Source organism: Homo sapiens, chromosome 22 (genome assembly GCF_000001405.40).
Source record: "Homo sapiens chromosome 22, GRCh38.p14 Primary Assembly".
NCBI lineage: Eukaryota > Metazoa > Chordata > Mammalia > Primates > Hominidae > Homo > Homo sapiens.
This window is the reverse complement of record NC_000022.11, coordinates 15,663,320-15,679,388: the sequence shown is the minus strand read 5'-3', so window position 1 is coordinate 15,679,388 and position 16,069 is coordinate 15,663,320. Positions and strand designations below refer to the sequence as shown.

At 39.2% G+C, this 16,069-nt stretch overlaps 1 pseudogene; it reads left to right on the top strand.

The window, feature by feature from the left end:
• Positions 1 to 4,564: 4,564 nt before the first annotated feature.
• The window catches only part of LOC124905152 (mediator complex subunit 15 pseudogene 7), a 42,872-nt pseudogene continuing 31,367 nt past the window's right edge, over positions 4,565 to 16,069 (top strand).

Here is a 16,069-nt window from a genome sequence, read left to right as displayed (position 1 = left end):
AAGGGTTCTGGCTCTCCTCAACTCAAAGACAGGAACACTCTACAAGGCCAAAAACGACACTATATACCCTGATTTCATCACTATGTGATGCATGCATGGATCCAAATATTCCACTCTACCCCCTACCTGTACACCTTTAGGATGGGGTCGATTTTGTTTTTTGAAAGCAATGTGAAGAAACAATGAATGCTAAAATTCCCATGGGACCACAAAATGCTCTGAAACTCCAAAGCCAGGCTGGGAGATTCAGACGATGTCAGATGGACCACACTCTCCAATTTCAAATTTCACAGAAAAGCTACAGACCCACCTCCACCTAGACAGAATAGGAAACCCAGAAGCAACCCCACATACCCACAACCATCTGACCTTTGAAACACCAAAATTCAGATGTGGAAAGGGCTCACTGTGCAATGAATGGCACTGGGATAGTGTCTAGCCACTTGCAGATGAACAGCACTACAGCCTTACCTCTCACAAGATGCAAAAACTAACTCAAGGTGAATGAAAGATTTCAGCAGAAGACTACAAACTATACAAGTCCTACAAGAAAAACTAGGAAATACCTTTCTCAACATGGGCTTTGGTAAAGAATTTAAATAACTTAGTCCCTAAGAGCAACGGCAAGAAAAACCAAAATGGACAAGTTGGGCCTAAGAAACTAAAACACTGCCAGACAGCAAAATAAATCACCAGCACAGTAAAAACATAGCCTACAGGATGGGAGAAAATGTTCCCAAACTATGCTTCTGACCAAGACCTAATAGCCAGACTCTAACGTGACCTTAAAAAAATCAAGAGGCAGAAAGACAAATAAGCCAATCAAACAATGGGTAAAAGACATGAAGACGTTCTTGTAAAAATAAGATGTACAAGTGACCAATAGACAAAAAAAACCCTCAACATCACTCATCATCAGAGAAATGCAACTCACACACACACTGAGATACCATCTCCCGTCGGTCAGAATGGCCATTTGTCCAAAGTCCAACATTTACATGCTGACAAGGCAGCGGAGGAAAGCAAACACTGCTACACTCTTGGAGGGAATAAAAACTAGTTCTCACACTATGAGAAGCGGTTTGGAGGTTCCTCAAAAAACTTAACAACTACCATCCAAATGGGCAATCGCATAACTGGGTATCTAGACAGAGGAAACTAAATCATAAACCCTTCTTTCAAAATGACACAGACATGGGTATGTTCTTGGTAGTGCTATTCACAAGAAAAAATAAAATAAAATTGACCTATGTTCCCTTTAACAGTTGATTCGATGTTTTAAAGTGTTGTATATAGATACTGCAAAATCCTACACAGCTTAAACAAATTCATGCTCTCGGCAGCAAGAAGGATGAACCTGCAGGCCACTATGCTAAGCAAACTAAGGAAAGAACAGAAAACCAAATACCACATGTTCTCACTTAGGGGGAAAATACCCATAGAAAATACAATGACTTTGCCATCTCTTTCTCTCTCACTTTCTCTCTCTCTCTCTCTCTCACTCTCTCTCTCTCTCTCTCATGAGACACAGAAATCCATGCTGACAAAAGCAAATATAAACCTGTGAGACCAACACTTTAGAGCTTCCGCATGTGGGAGAAAACAATGACCCCAAAGAGAAAGCATCCTACCTTGGCGGAAAGGATGATTGGGGGAAAACTGTGGAAAATCATAATTTTGGAAAGGGTTGTTATCTAACATATTCAAGCACTAAAGCTACTAAGTGGGGAAAAGATTAAAAAAAAATACACGAGCTAAAAATATGCAAAGGATATACACAACCACCTCTGCAAAGGACATGAAACTGATTCACAGGTGAAACAGAAGTTTCTCCACATCACTAATCACTCCAAACATGTAAGTCAGAATCACACTCCGATATCAGATACCATCAAACTCCACTGAGAATGAATATTACCCAAACAGCAATAAAAATTTTGGACGGCAGCAACCAGTGTAGACTTACAGAAAGGGAAACTCATATATGCTATTGATGTCGATGTAAATTGGTGAACATACTGTGAAAAAAACTTGGGAGCTTCTCATACTGGGTATGCATTTAAAGCAAAGGCAACTGGTACCATAAAAAATTATCTGCCTTCCCATGTTTTATGAAGCGCTATTCACAATATAGAAGATATGGAATGAACCTACCTATCCAACCACACATCAAGAGATGAAGACACTGCAGTGTATCTGCACAATGCAATAATACTCTTCATCCTTAACAAAATAATGTAATTTTCATTTGGAGCCATATGGATGAACCTGGAAAATATATTGTTAAATAAAATAAGCCTGGCATAGAAAAACAAGCAAATTCATCTCACTTATATGGAATCCAAAAAACTTTGCCTTCAATAAGTACAAGGTACAGTAGTGGTTTTCCGAAGACAGGGGAAGGAGGAGATGGAAGGATTGGTTATGGAAACAAAGTTGCAGTTAGTTGGGACAAACACATTCTTGCATTCTATACCACAGCTGGGTGACTCTGGTTAACAAAATAGTACATTTTTCAATAAAGCTAGAAGGGAGCAATTTGAGTGTTATCACAACAGAGAAATAATACCTGTATGAGAACAGATACAGCAAGTACCCTGATTTGATCATTACTAAAAATATACATGTACCAAAATGTCCCAGAGGAAAAACAGTCCCAGCATACTCTCTAATTATATACTTTATTACGCACAGAAATTTAAGAAATGTGAATACGCAATGCTAATGATCACATGGAAATGGCCCTGAATGTCTAAGGAATCCTGAGAAATAGAAACTAAGTTGGAGGACTCACAATCCCTGATATGCCGCAGTGCTCCAGCCTGGGTAAGAGAATGAGACTCTGTGTCAAAAAAAAATTGTTAGAAAATTTGAGGGAATCATAGAAGTGATAAATTGTTGTTACCAAACATGTACACAGAAAAAAGCAATACTAAGTAGCATAAAAATACATATCTGAACTCATATTGAGCAAAAAACTTGAATAGAGTTATCTGCAAAGATGACATAAAACTAACAGGTAAGAGAAAAGGTCCTCAACATCACTGTTCATCAAAAAAAAGTACTTCAAAACCACACTCAGATGTCATTTCACTCTTATTGAAATGAATGTTACTAAAAAGATCAAAAAAATTTTTTTGAGACAGGGACTCTGTCACTCAGGCTGGAGTGCAGTGGCATGATCATGGCTCACTGCAGCCTTGACCTCTCCGGCACAAGTGATCCTCCCACCTCTGCCTCCTGAATAGCTGGAACTACAGGCACACACCACCACGCCTGGCTAATTTTTTTGTATTTTTTTGTAGAAATGAAGTTTTGCCACGTTGCCTAGGCTGGTCTCAAATTGTTTGGCTCAAGTGATCTGCCCACCTTGGCCTCCCAAAGTGCTTGGATTACAGGCATGAACCATCACGCCTGGCCATAAAAAAACATGCATGGCTACATCAAAGTGAAAACTTTTTGCAAGGAAAAGGAAACAATGAGCCCAAAGAGGAAGGCTGGGAGAACAAATCACATATCGGCTAATGGGGGTTGTTATGGAAAATATGCAACACATTAATAGTACTAAGTAGCAACAACAAACAAATGATCCATCCAAAACTGAGCAGGGAACCTGAATAGGCATTTCTGCAAAGAAGACATTAAACCACATGGAAGGGCGCTTCCTCCACAGTCAGGTGGCCGTGACTAGATGGACAGAGTTAGGCAGACGCTGTGGGGGGTGGGGGGTGTTGAGAAAAGTGACCCCTATGTCCCGACGGCTGGGAAACAAATGTAAAAGTTCAGTAGACCACCTGCAGTAGTTCATGCCTGTAATCCCGGCACTTTGGGAAGCTGAGGCGAGAGGACTGCTTTGAGCTCAGAAGTTTGAGACCAGCCTGGGCAACATGGCGAAACACTGCCTCTACCAAAAATACAAGAAAAACAAAATTCAGCAGACCAGGCACAGTAGTTCACACCTGTAATCCCAGCACTTAGGGAAGCCGAAGTGGAAGGATTGCTTTGAGTTCAGAAGTTCAAGATAAGCCTGGGTAACATGGCGAAACCCCGTGGCCAGCAAAAATATGAAAAAAAAAAAATAGCTGGGCATGGTGGCACAAGCCCAGCTAATGGGGAGACTGAGGCTGGAGAATCCCTTGAGCCCAGAAAGTGGAGGCTGCAGTGAGCTGAGATCTGCCACTGCACTCCAGGATGCACAACAGGGCCAGACCCTATCTCCAAAAAAATAAAACCAATTAAAAAATCAGCAAACCCTGGAGGTGGCTGGGATCCTTTCCTTCCACCTGAGGCTTGGATGCAAGGCAGCCAAACTGGGGCCTGGTCCCAAAACCCCACCTAGGCCGGGCTTCCTCTTCCTCCCACAGCCAGAGCTTTCCTCTCTCTCCATCTACATGGGGAGTCTCCCTCAGAAACAGCCCTAAAGCCTCCTACTCTTTCCAACCTCAAAAGCCCTCAGGGACTGAGTACTACTATAAAATTCATACTAAGATGGAAAGAAAGAAAAAAGGAAGACCCATCAGGAATACATAGAACATTCCAGAAAACGAAAGCTTCTGTACTCACCATGATGGAAGAACTCCCCGAAGAAGCCAGCCGCAGAGAAGCCACACCAAAGCTCTGTCCTCAGCCGTCAGCGCCACGGACAGGAGGTGTTTCTTCCCCAGGATGCAGCCTCAAGTTATCCCGAAGCTGCCGTGGCACACGGTGGCTCCTGAGAACACCTTGGCTCTTCCGGTTTAACACAGGCAAGTCAATAAGTGTGATAATCACATAAACAGAATTAAAAGCAAAGTCACATAATCATCTCAATAAACACAGAAAAGGCATTTGACAAAATCCAGCATCCATTTATAATTAAAACCCTCAGCAAAAAATGCACAGAAGGGACATAGCTTCAGGTAATAAAAACCATCTGTGACAAACCCACAGCCAACATAATACTAAATGGGGAAAGGTTAGAAGCATTTCCTCTGAGAACTGGAACAATAAATACAAGGATGCCCACTCTCACCACTTCTATTCAACATAGCACTGACAGGCCCAGCCAGAGCAATCAAATGAGAGAAAGAAATAAAGGGCATCCAGATCGGTAAATAGGAAGTCAAATTGTCACTGTTTGCTGATGACATGATTGTATACCTAGAGACTCCTCCAAAAAGCTCCTAAACTGATAAATAATTTCAGCAAAAATTCAGGATACAAAATTAATGTACCCAAATCAATAGATCTGCTATACACCAATGATGTGCAAGCTGAGAATCAGATCAAGAATTCAATCCCTTTTACAATACCTGCAAAAAAATAAAATAAAACACTTAGGAATATACCTAACAAGGAAGTATAAAAGACCTCTACAAAGAAAACTACAAAACACTGCTGAAAGAAATCACAGATGACACAAACAAATGGAAACACCTCTCATGCTCATAGATGGGTAAAATCAATATTGTAAAAATGACCATAACGCCAAAAGCAGTTTACAATTTGAAAGCAATTTCCATCAAAATATCACCATCATTCTTCACAGAACTAGAAAAGATAATTCGAAAATTCATATGGAACCAAAAAAGAGCCTGCATAGCCAAAGCAAGCCTAAGCAGAAAGAACAGATCTGGAGGCATTACATTACCTGGCTTCAATCTATACTACAAGGCCATAGTTAGCAAAACAGTATAATACTGGTATAAAAATAAGGACATAGACCAATGAAACAGAATAGAGAACCCAGAAATAAACCCAAATACTTACAGCCAACTGGTCTTTGACAAAGCAAACAAAAACAAAGTGGGGAAAGGACACCTTATTCAACATATGGTGCTTGGAAAACTGGCAAACCACATGCCAAAAAATGAAACTGGATCCCCATCTCTTACCTTATACAAAAGTCAACTTAAATCTGAGACCTGAAACCATAAAAATTCTATAAGATAACATTGGAAAAACCCTTCTACACATTGGCTTGGGCAAAGACTTCATGACCAAGAACCCAAAAGCAAGCACGACAACAAAATGAAGATAAACAGGTGAGACTTAATTAATCCACAAAGTTTCTGCACAGCAAAAGAAACAATTGGCAGAGTAAACAGACAACCCACAGAATGGGAGAAAATCTTCACAATCTATACATCTAAGAAAGGACTAATATCCAGAATCCACAAAGAACTCAGCAGGAAAAAAAACAATCCCTTCCAATAATGGGCTAAGGACTTGAATATACCATTCTCAAAAGAAAATATAAAAATGGGCAACAAACATGAAAAAATGCTCATCATCACTAATGATCAGGGAAATGCATCAAAACCACAATGCCATGCCACCTTACTCCTGGCAAGAATGGCCATAATGAAAACATCAAAAAATAATAAATGTGGGTGGGGATATGGTGAAAAAAGAACACTTTTACACCGCTGGTGGGAATGTAAACTAGTACAACCACTACAGTAAACTGTGTGGAAATTTCTTAAAGAACTAAAAGTAGAACTACCATTTAATCCAGCAATTCCATTACTGGGTTATCTACCAGAGGAAAAGAAGTCATTATGTGAAAAAGATACTTGTACACGCATGTTTATAGCAGCACAATTCACAACTGCAGAAATATGTAACCAGCCCAGATGCCCATCAATCAATGAGTAGATTAAGAAATTATTATATATATATTATCGATATAATATATACACACACACACAGCCATAAAAAGGAAAAAAATAATGGCATTCACAGCAACCTGGATTCTCGAGATCGGAGATTACTATTCTAAGTCAAGTAACTTAAGAATGGAAAACCAAACACAGTTTGCTCTCACTCGCAAGTGGGAGCGAAGCTATGAGGATGCAAAGGCATTAGAATACTACAGTGGACTTTGGGGACTTGGGGGAAACGGTGGGAGGCAGGTGAGGAATAAAAGACTACAAATTGGATACAACGTATTCCGCTCAGGTGTTGGGTGCACCACAATCTCACTAATCACCTCTAAAGGAGTTACTCATATAATCAAACACCACCTGTTCCCCAAAAACCTATGGAAATAAAAAAATACAATAAGTTTTTGTGTATCTGTGTATGCATCACATATTTTTTAACTTTCTTCACAAGTTCATTGAGATGTAATTTATACGTTATTTAATTCACTCATTTAAAGTGTACATTTCAATTTGTTAGTGTATTAACTGGGTGGATAAACAATCACAATATAATTTTAGAACATTTTTATGCTCCTTAAAAGAAACCTTGCACTCATTAGCAATCTTTTCCCATTTTCTCCACTTCCTTGAAACCCCTCCCAGCCCTAGGCAACCATCCACCCACTTCCTAACTAAGGATTTGCCTACTCTGGAAGGATTTGCCTGTTCCGGACATTTCATGTAAATGGAATCATAATAATACATAGTTACGTGTGACCCACTGCTTTCACTTATGTTTTTAACGTTCATCCTTTTTGAAGCATGTATATTAATACCTTTTTCTTTTTTATTGCCAAATACTATTGTATTTCATGGACAGACCACATTTTATTAATCCACTCTGCAATTCATGGACATTTCTGTTGCTTCCCACTTTTTGTTGCTGTAAGTACTTGTATGCTACCTTTTGAGTAGACATTTGTTTTCATTTCTTTTTGGTGTATACATAGGAGTTAATTTACTGAGTCATATGGTAATTCTATACTTATCCTCTTGAAGAACTGCCAGACTGTTTTAAACTCTCATCAGCAGTGTATAAGGGTTTCAAATTTTCACATATTTTTAATCCATTCTTCAGTTGATAAACACTTAGGTTGTTTCTAAATCACAGCTATTATGAATAACTCTGCAATGAACATGAAATTGCAGATGTCTCTTTGACATACTGATTTTAAGTTCTTCAGACGTATATCCAGAAGAGGCATTGATGAATCATAATGTAAATATATTTATAATTTCTTGAGAAAGCTTCATACTATTTTCCAAGATGGTGGTAATAATTTCAATTCCGACCAACAGTGTACAACCGTTTTCTCCACATTCTAATCAATAGTTATCTTCCATCATTTTTTAATTATTTATTTATTTATTTACTGAGATGAAGTCTTGCTCTGTCACCCAGGCTGGAGTGCAGTGGCGCAATCTTGGCTCACTGCAACCTCTACCTCCCAGGTTCAAGCAATTCTTCTGCCTCACCCTCCCAAGTAGCTGGAATTACAGGTGCATGCCACCACGCCCAACTAATTTTTTGTATTTTTAGTAGAGACGGGGATTCACCATGTTGGCCAGGCTGGTCTAAAACTCCTGACCTCAGGCAATCCACCTGCCTTGGACTCCCAAAGTGCTGAGATTTCAGGTGTGAGCCACCGTGCCCCGCCACATCTTTTTTATAATAACCTCAGTAACATCTGTGAGATAATATCTTCATGGTTTTGACATCTATTTCTCTGATAATTAGGAATGTTGATGTTTTTTATCAACATTTTTGATAAAAATCTGGCCTTTTGTATGTCTGTTTTTAGAAAATGTCTATTCAACTCCTTTACTTATTTTTTAGTAAGCTTGTTTTCTCATTTCTGGGTTGAGTTCCTTACATATTATTGGTATGAACCCCTTACCTGAGATATGGTTTAAAAACATTCTCTTCCCATTTGTGGGTTGTCTCTTCAATCTATTACTGTTTCTTTTGCTGTGCAGAGAAGCTTCTTAGTTTTATGGCATCTCGTTCGTGTATTTTTGCTTTTGTTGCCTGTACTTTTTGGGGTCATCTGTAGAAAATCATAGCTGAGGCCACTGTCATATGGTTTTCTCCTGTCTTTGCTTGTAGCGGTTTTATGGTTTCAGGTTTATATTTAAGTCTTTCATGCATTGCTACTTGATGTTGGTATAAAGAGTGAAATAACAATCCAATTTTATTCTTCTGTATGTGAATAGTCAGTTTTTCTCTACATTATTTATTGAAGAGAATTTTCTTTCCACATTGTGTATTCTTTGTCCTTTTATCAAAAATCAACGGACCACAGACACATGGATTTATTTACAGGTTCTACATTCCTTCACACTGGTCTAGGTGTCTGTTTTTATGCTAGTGCTATGCTGTTTTAAGTACTATAACTTTTTAATATTGTTTAAAATCAAGTAGCCTGATGCCTCTGGCTTTGTTCTTTTTGCTCAAGATTGCTTTGGTTTTTCAGAGTCTTTTGTGGTTCCACTCAGATTTTAGGACTAATTTTTCTATTTCTGTGAAGAATGGCATGGGATTTTGACAGTGATTGCATTAATCTGTAGATTGCTTTCGGTAGCATTGAAATTTTGACGATATTAATTTTTCAAATCCATAAATATGGGATGTTTTTCTACTTATGTCACTTTCAATTTCTTTCAACAATGCTATAAATTTTCAGTATACAAATATTTCACATCCTTCATTAAAATTACTCCTTAGTCTTTTATTTACTTATATATGTTATGATGCTATTATCAAATGAATTACTTTATTCATTTGTTTTTCAGTTAACAGTTTGTCATTGGTGTATAGAAACAAGAATACTATTTGTATGTTAATTTTGTAACTCTCAACTTTCAATGCGTTTATCAGCTTTAACACTTTTTTTCTTTTTTATGGAGTCTTTAAGATTATCTCTATATTGGCTGGGCACGGTGGCTCATGCCTGTAATCCCGGCACTTTGGGAGGCCGAAGTGTGTGGATCACGAGATCAGGAGTTCGAGACTAGCCTGGCCAATATGGTGAAACCCTGTCTCTACTAAAAAAATACAAAAATTAGCCGGGCGTGGTGGCACGCACCTGTAGTCCCAGCTACTTGGGAGACTGAGGCAGGAGCAGCACTTGAACCCGGAGGCGGAGGTTGCAGTGAGCTGAGATGGTGCCACTGCATTCCAGCCTCTTTCCTATTTGGATGCCTTTCCGTTCTTTGCCTTGTATGATTACTCTGGCTACATGATTACATATAACGTTTTCAGCATTTGTAATTTGACATCACATCCATCTGTTGTAATACACTGATTGTTACTTTTCAACTTGAAAACCTGGACATTTATCACTAATCTCCCTTTCTCTTCGTCTAGTTCTTATCCAAGAAAACAACCTGTCAATATAAACCAAGTTAGATAATTATTTTTCTATAAAACCACTTCAAATGCATTTAAAATTTTTTAACCTAACAATTTTTAAACTTTGTATGTCAATGATTTTCAACTGTGGTCTCTCAAAACAAATCCAATACTTTTAGTAGGAAAAATTACGTTAATTCCTACACTACCGTTGGGGCTACCCAAGAGTTGACCAAAGGTGATATTAATACATATGCTTATTTATTACCCTGTTCTCACAGTTCTAGTGTAAGTCTTGAAAATCAAGTAAATTTGGAAACATAGTTGCACAAATCTTCTCATGAGTCACACAGTTAATCCAGAATATTATTTCTAAGTTATCATAAAGCCAACAAGCAAATATGATGTACTGTTTAAAAAGAATAATCATAATTTTATATTATACAAATGAAACATGTATTCAATACTGTTTACTGAATATCTCAAGTATACTTATTTACGTAGAAACAAAGGAATCAACGGATATCTGTTATATAACGTTTAAATTACTAAAAATACTTTATATAGCATCGCTCCATAAATGCTAGTGTAAATGCTGACGAAAGTAAAAATGTCATTCCCTACATTTGCTAAATATATTGTGACACATTATAAGTGTTTTTAAAACATATCACTAAGGGGCAAAAGAAGTAGGCAAAAATAATTGTAAGTATTTAATTATGGAAAAATTTAGAACACAGCATAGTATTCATGTGATGGAAGGATTTTAAATGGAACCCAGAGATTAGCAGCAGCAGGAAGTTTCTATCATACTTAGGATTGGGAAAACAACAGAAGTTACTGGAACACAAAAGCAGGGTCATGTTATTAAAAACTGGGGCCATGGTGAGTGTCTGTGACCATTACCTAATATGTCACACTGAATAAAGACAGACAGCACATGATCTGAGGCTTTTTTCTTCCACAGATGCCTTCCATTGGCCAGAATTAGCCAGTATTTAGAGTGCACTGAAGACTGGGAGGGTCTGTTCTCTGTAACAGACTGAACAGAAGGAGAAGGTGAGATGCTCATTACCTTAGTGATGGCTTCAATCATACCCCAAAACTCAGTATCACACGATAAACCTGCACATTTTTATTCAGTCTAAAATAAAAGTTGAATTTAAAAAAAAATACAGAAAGCAGTTTAGACTTTACTAATCAGTAGTAAAGTCTTTAGAGCTGCTCTTCCAAAAGTAAGCCATTGCACTGAGAAAACTGACCATTTTATTCATCAGAAGAAAAATTCAATGAACCTTTACTCACTGACAATAGTGAGAATCAGAATGAATGAATCAGAATGTCTGTCCTAACTACTCCCTCTGGTTCTACTTCAATTCCTGCTGCCTCCATATGGTTCATCAGTGTGTGGAAGATGAATGTGGTAAAACTGAAGTGGCTGCTTGTACTTGGAGAACAACAACAATGCACTGAAAATTCACTGCTTAGAAGCTGTTGAAAGAGTTTGGCAATAAATACAACCTAATATTCACAATAAAGAGCAATGATCTATAAGCCCATTTTCACATCTATTGTAAAGGCCAACCATGTGTTTCAGCCAAAACAAACTGATTTTATTAATACAATGACCAGACATATATAAATAATAATATGAGTTTATTTTACCAGAGGAATTGGCTCTCACACTTGCATTCTATTGTAGGTTTTTACACTTATCCAATTCTAACAAGAGTTGGATAAACTCAGGGTTTTCCTAAAGTAACAATGACTATTCCTCACAAAAGAGTCACAAGCAAAGTCTACACCTGAAAATGTGTAGATTGCCTTCCATGTCCTGTGTGCATTAAGAAACGTTTTATTTTTACACCTGGTATACGGACAACATGGATGAATATGTTGGCTAATTAGAACAAGTTTATCAAGTTCTTTGAAACCCTTGGTAGACAAAGTAATTCAAGGATTCAGCCCAGATTAGTAGTGTGAAAGCCTGCAACAAACCAAACTGTAGAAAAGTAATAATGTAAATACAAATGTGATTTCAATCTCCACTTGGCGACTGACCTCCCTCAGACCACTAAACTCTGTGCATCAGATGCATTAACAATGAGACATTCGTCACTCACTGGGGAGGTGGGCATGGTGAAAACCTTTTTTTACCCATAGATCTGGGGGAACTGCTGAAAAGCCTGAAATGCATTCAGTTGATGCACCAGACATCAGTTACTGAAGAAGCAGAGGCGATGAACTTCCCTTAACGTTGACCTAAGTGGATAAACGCATGGCAACATGCTGAGTGACTTCAACAATGCAGACACACTCAATGTCAAAATGCCACAGGGCTACCCGGTGCTGCAAGGCTGGGACTCGGTTTCCGTAAGACTGTCTTAAGGCAGTGGGATTTCTGATGGAACTGTGGACATAAGCATATGCCCCCATACGCCACTCCCACTACTCACTGTAGGAACAGCAGTGTAACATTTGTCCCGGCTAATGATGACAAACAATCCCCAAGTCCCTATGCAAACCAAGTGCTGGGGCCACACAGTGGCCTGAGCAACATACCTATGGGTAGTAACTATTGAGAAGACATTTCCAAGGGATTGCCATTCCAACAGGCATGGGGAATGCTCAACATCACCAATCATCAGAGATGAGGTACCGGTGCCATCACACGCTGGTCAGAGTGGCCATTTGTCCTAAGTCAAAACATAACATGCTGGTGTGGCAGCAGAGAAAAGCAAACATGGCTATTCTCTTGGAGGTAATGCAAACTAGATCTCAAACTGTGGAAATCAGTCTGAAGATTTCTGGAAAAAAAAAAGGACAGAAAGCAGAGCTACGCTTTGACGCAGCAATCCCACCCCATGCGTCTACCCCAGGGAAAAACACATGCATCTATCAAAAGGACACAGACACTCACATGTCCACGGGAGTGTTACTGACAGGAATAAAGATGTGGAACTGACCTAGATGCCCACCAACAGAAAATTGGATTTTTTAAAATGTGGTACCTATACATCACAGAATGCTGAAAAAACCACTAAGGAAAATCAAACACAGAAACAAAATCATGCCCTCAGTAGGAACATGGGTGGAACTGGAGGCCACTCTGCTAAGCAACTGAGGCAAGAACAGAAGACCAAACACTGCAGGTTCTCATTTATAAGTGGAAGCTCAACACCCAATGCACATCAACATCAATATGAAATCAACAGACGTTGGGTACTACCAGACAGAAAAAGAAGGGAGACAGGGAGCCTTGGAGGAAGAAAGACCCAACTGGTGCTGTGTTCACTGCCTGGACGACAGGTACGTTAGGACCTCAAGCATCAAAATTCTACTGTATAGCCATGTAGTGAAGTGAACCTGCAGGCGTACCCCTTGATCACAATAAAAGTAGCTATCATTTTAGAAAACCCAGCTTTGGAAATAAAAATAGAAAAAAGGAAGAAAACACACAAAACAAAACAAAAAGCCTACAGTGACCCAATCCATCCTCTTAGTGGCATGAACACAGAAAGATAACAGAATGGACACAACGAAGGAGCCAAATAATCAACCCACAGTTATAAACACTGAACCCATGGGATTCTTGCTTTTACCCCAAAAGCACACCAAAGGCACAATGGTTGAGGAAACTGTGGGGGGGGTGGGGGTCACGTGTAAAGGACCGAACCCTTCCTTTACCCAAGACACAAAAAGTGACACAAAATCTACTGAACACCTAAGTTCAATCCTGAAACCAAAATCTCCAAGGAAAACGCATAGGGTGTGTGTCTACTGTGGGGAAACTTGAACCTGTGAACCTCAGCTACAAGCAGAAAACGAAGACATAGGAACCAAATACACATAGACCATACATAATGGCTTCACCATCTTGCTTTTCTCCTCAAAGGGACACAGAAATCACCACTAAGAAAAGCTAATGTGACCATGTGAAACTAAGGACAACTTCAGAGCTTCACACAGCTTCAACACTGGAGAGAAAACAGTGAACCCAACAGAAAACATCCTACAGACTGGGAGAAAATTATGGAAAACTGTGGATCTGGAAGGGCTTCTTATCTAACATATTCAAGAAACTAATGGTCCTAAGTGGACAAAAACCAATATACAATGCTTGTCACACCTAAGTGGACAAAAACCAATACTAAAAATGCCCAAAAGACTGGCATAGGCATTTCTGAAAAAACCTGAAACAGCCTCTCAGGTAACAGAAGTTTCTCCACATCAGAAGAGTTTCTCCCCAGAGAACGAGTATGACCAGAAACAGCAATAAAACTTTGGAAGATAAGGGCAGTGTAGATTTGCAGACAGAGGAACTATTACATACTACTGGTTTGAATGCAAATTTGTATACCCACTGGGAAACAGCTGGAGTTTTCTGAAACAATTAACAACACAACCACCAGTTCCTCTAGCCATCCCAACACTGGGTATACCTGCAAAGCCAAGGAAACCTACCTTAAGGAGGTATCTCCCTTCCCATGTTTCATGAAGTACTCTGAACAATAACCAAGGTGGGGAATCAACCTACTTGTCTTTCTACAGATGATAAAATCAGGAATTGAAGGATATATGCACAACGGTATACTCTTCGGCCATCAAACTTCCGGACATCAGTTCACTACCAGCAAGATGGAGAAACCTGGAGGGCATTAAGTTAAAAAACATGAGCCAGGCAGAGGAAGACAAACACAAATACTGTGCAATCTCATGCACGTGGAATCTAACAAAGTGAATCTCATACAGTAGCAATGTCAACAGTGGGTACCAGAGGCTCTGAGGAGGATTGGAAATGGCTACAAAGGGATGCTCAGATGAGGCACAGGTACTCTGGTGTTCTACAGCACAGCAGGGTGACTAGGCTTAACAATATCATAGCATAATATTCAATATTGCTGGAAAGGATTTGGAATGCTCTCTCCATCAAGAAATCCTCACTGTAGCATGAAACAGATGCTAGGTCCTGTAGTTTCATTGATTCATGTAAAAAGGTCCATTGCACCCTTTAAATAAAAACATAGACCATGTCCTATTTTTGTTTTCCAAATAGGATCACAACACACTACTAAAAATCCCGTGGGACAATGAAATGCCCTGCATTCCCAAAGCAGTTTCTGCACATACAAAGTCAGTGGAGTGCCATCACACTCTTCCACTTTCAACTACTTCCCAAAGCTTTAGTTACCCAAGCGATTCGTGATAGGCATTAACAGAGAAACACAGGCCAACGAACACAATGAGGGTGTCCAGCAGCAAACTCAAATGAAGGTCTCAGTTAATTTAGAAAGTTTATTTTGCCAAAGTTGAGAACACACTTGTGACACAGCCTCAGGGTCATGATGACATGTGCCCAAGGTGGTCAGGGCACAGCTTGGTTTTATACATTTCAGAGAAACATGAGACATCAATCAATATATCTAAGAAGTATATTGCTTTGGTCTAGAAAGGTGTGACAAGTTGAAGCTAACTCAGAAGACTGGAAGGAGGGAGGGAGCTTCCAGGTCACAGATCACTGATACACAAATGGTTACATTCTTTTGAGTTTCTGATTAGTCTCCAAAGGAGGCAATCAGGTATGCATCTATCTCAGGGAGCAGAGGGGTGACTTTGAATAGAATGGGAGGCAGGTTGGCCCTAAGCAGATTCCAGCCTGAGTTTTCCTTAGTGATTTTAGGGGCCCAAGATATTTTCCTTTCACATTTCCCCCCTTTTCTTTTTAAAAAATCTTTTGGAAAAAGCATTTTACAAGAAAATGAGTCTCTGGTCTCGGGTTTCATCTGATCTCTCATGGCTAGGAGGGTTTATTCCTAGAGAGGTAGGTCCCAAAAGCTCATTTTTAGCAGGTTGTGATGTCTCACATCCTTTGAAGTTAAAATAGGGGGGAGGAAGTGAGAAAAAACAACAACAAACAAAAGAACAATCCTGGAAAAATCAATGCAAGCCACATTACTCTGCAGTCCATGCCTCAGTAGGCAGGTATGAAAGTGGCTTAGGTATGTCAACAGGTTGCTGTTATTTTCTTCTGAAG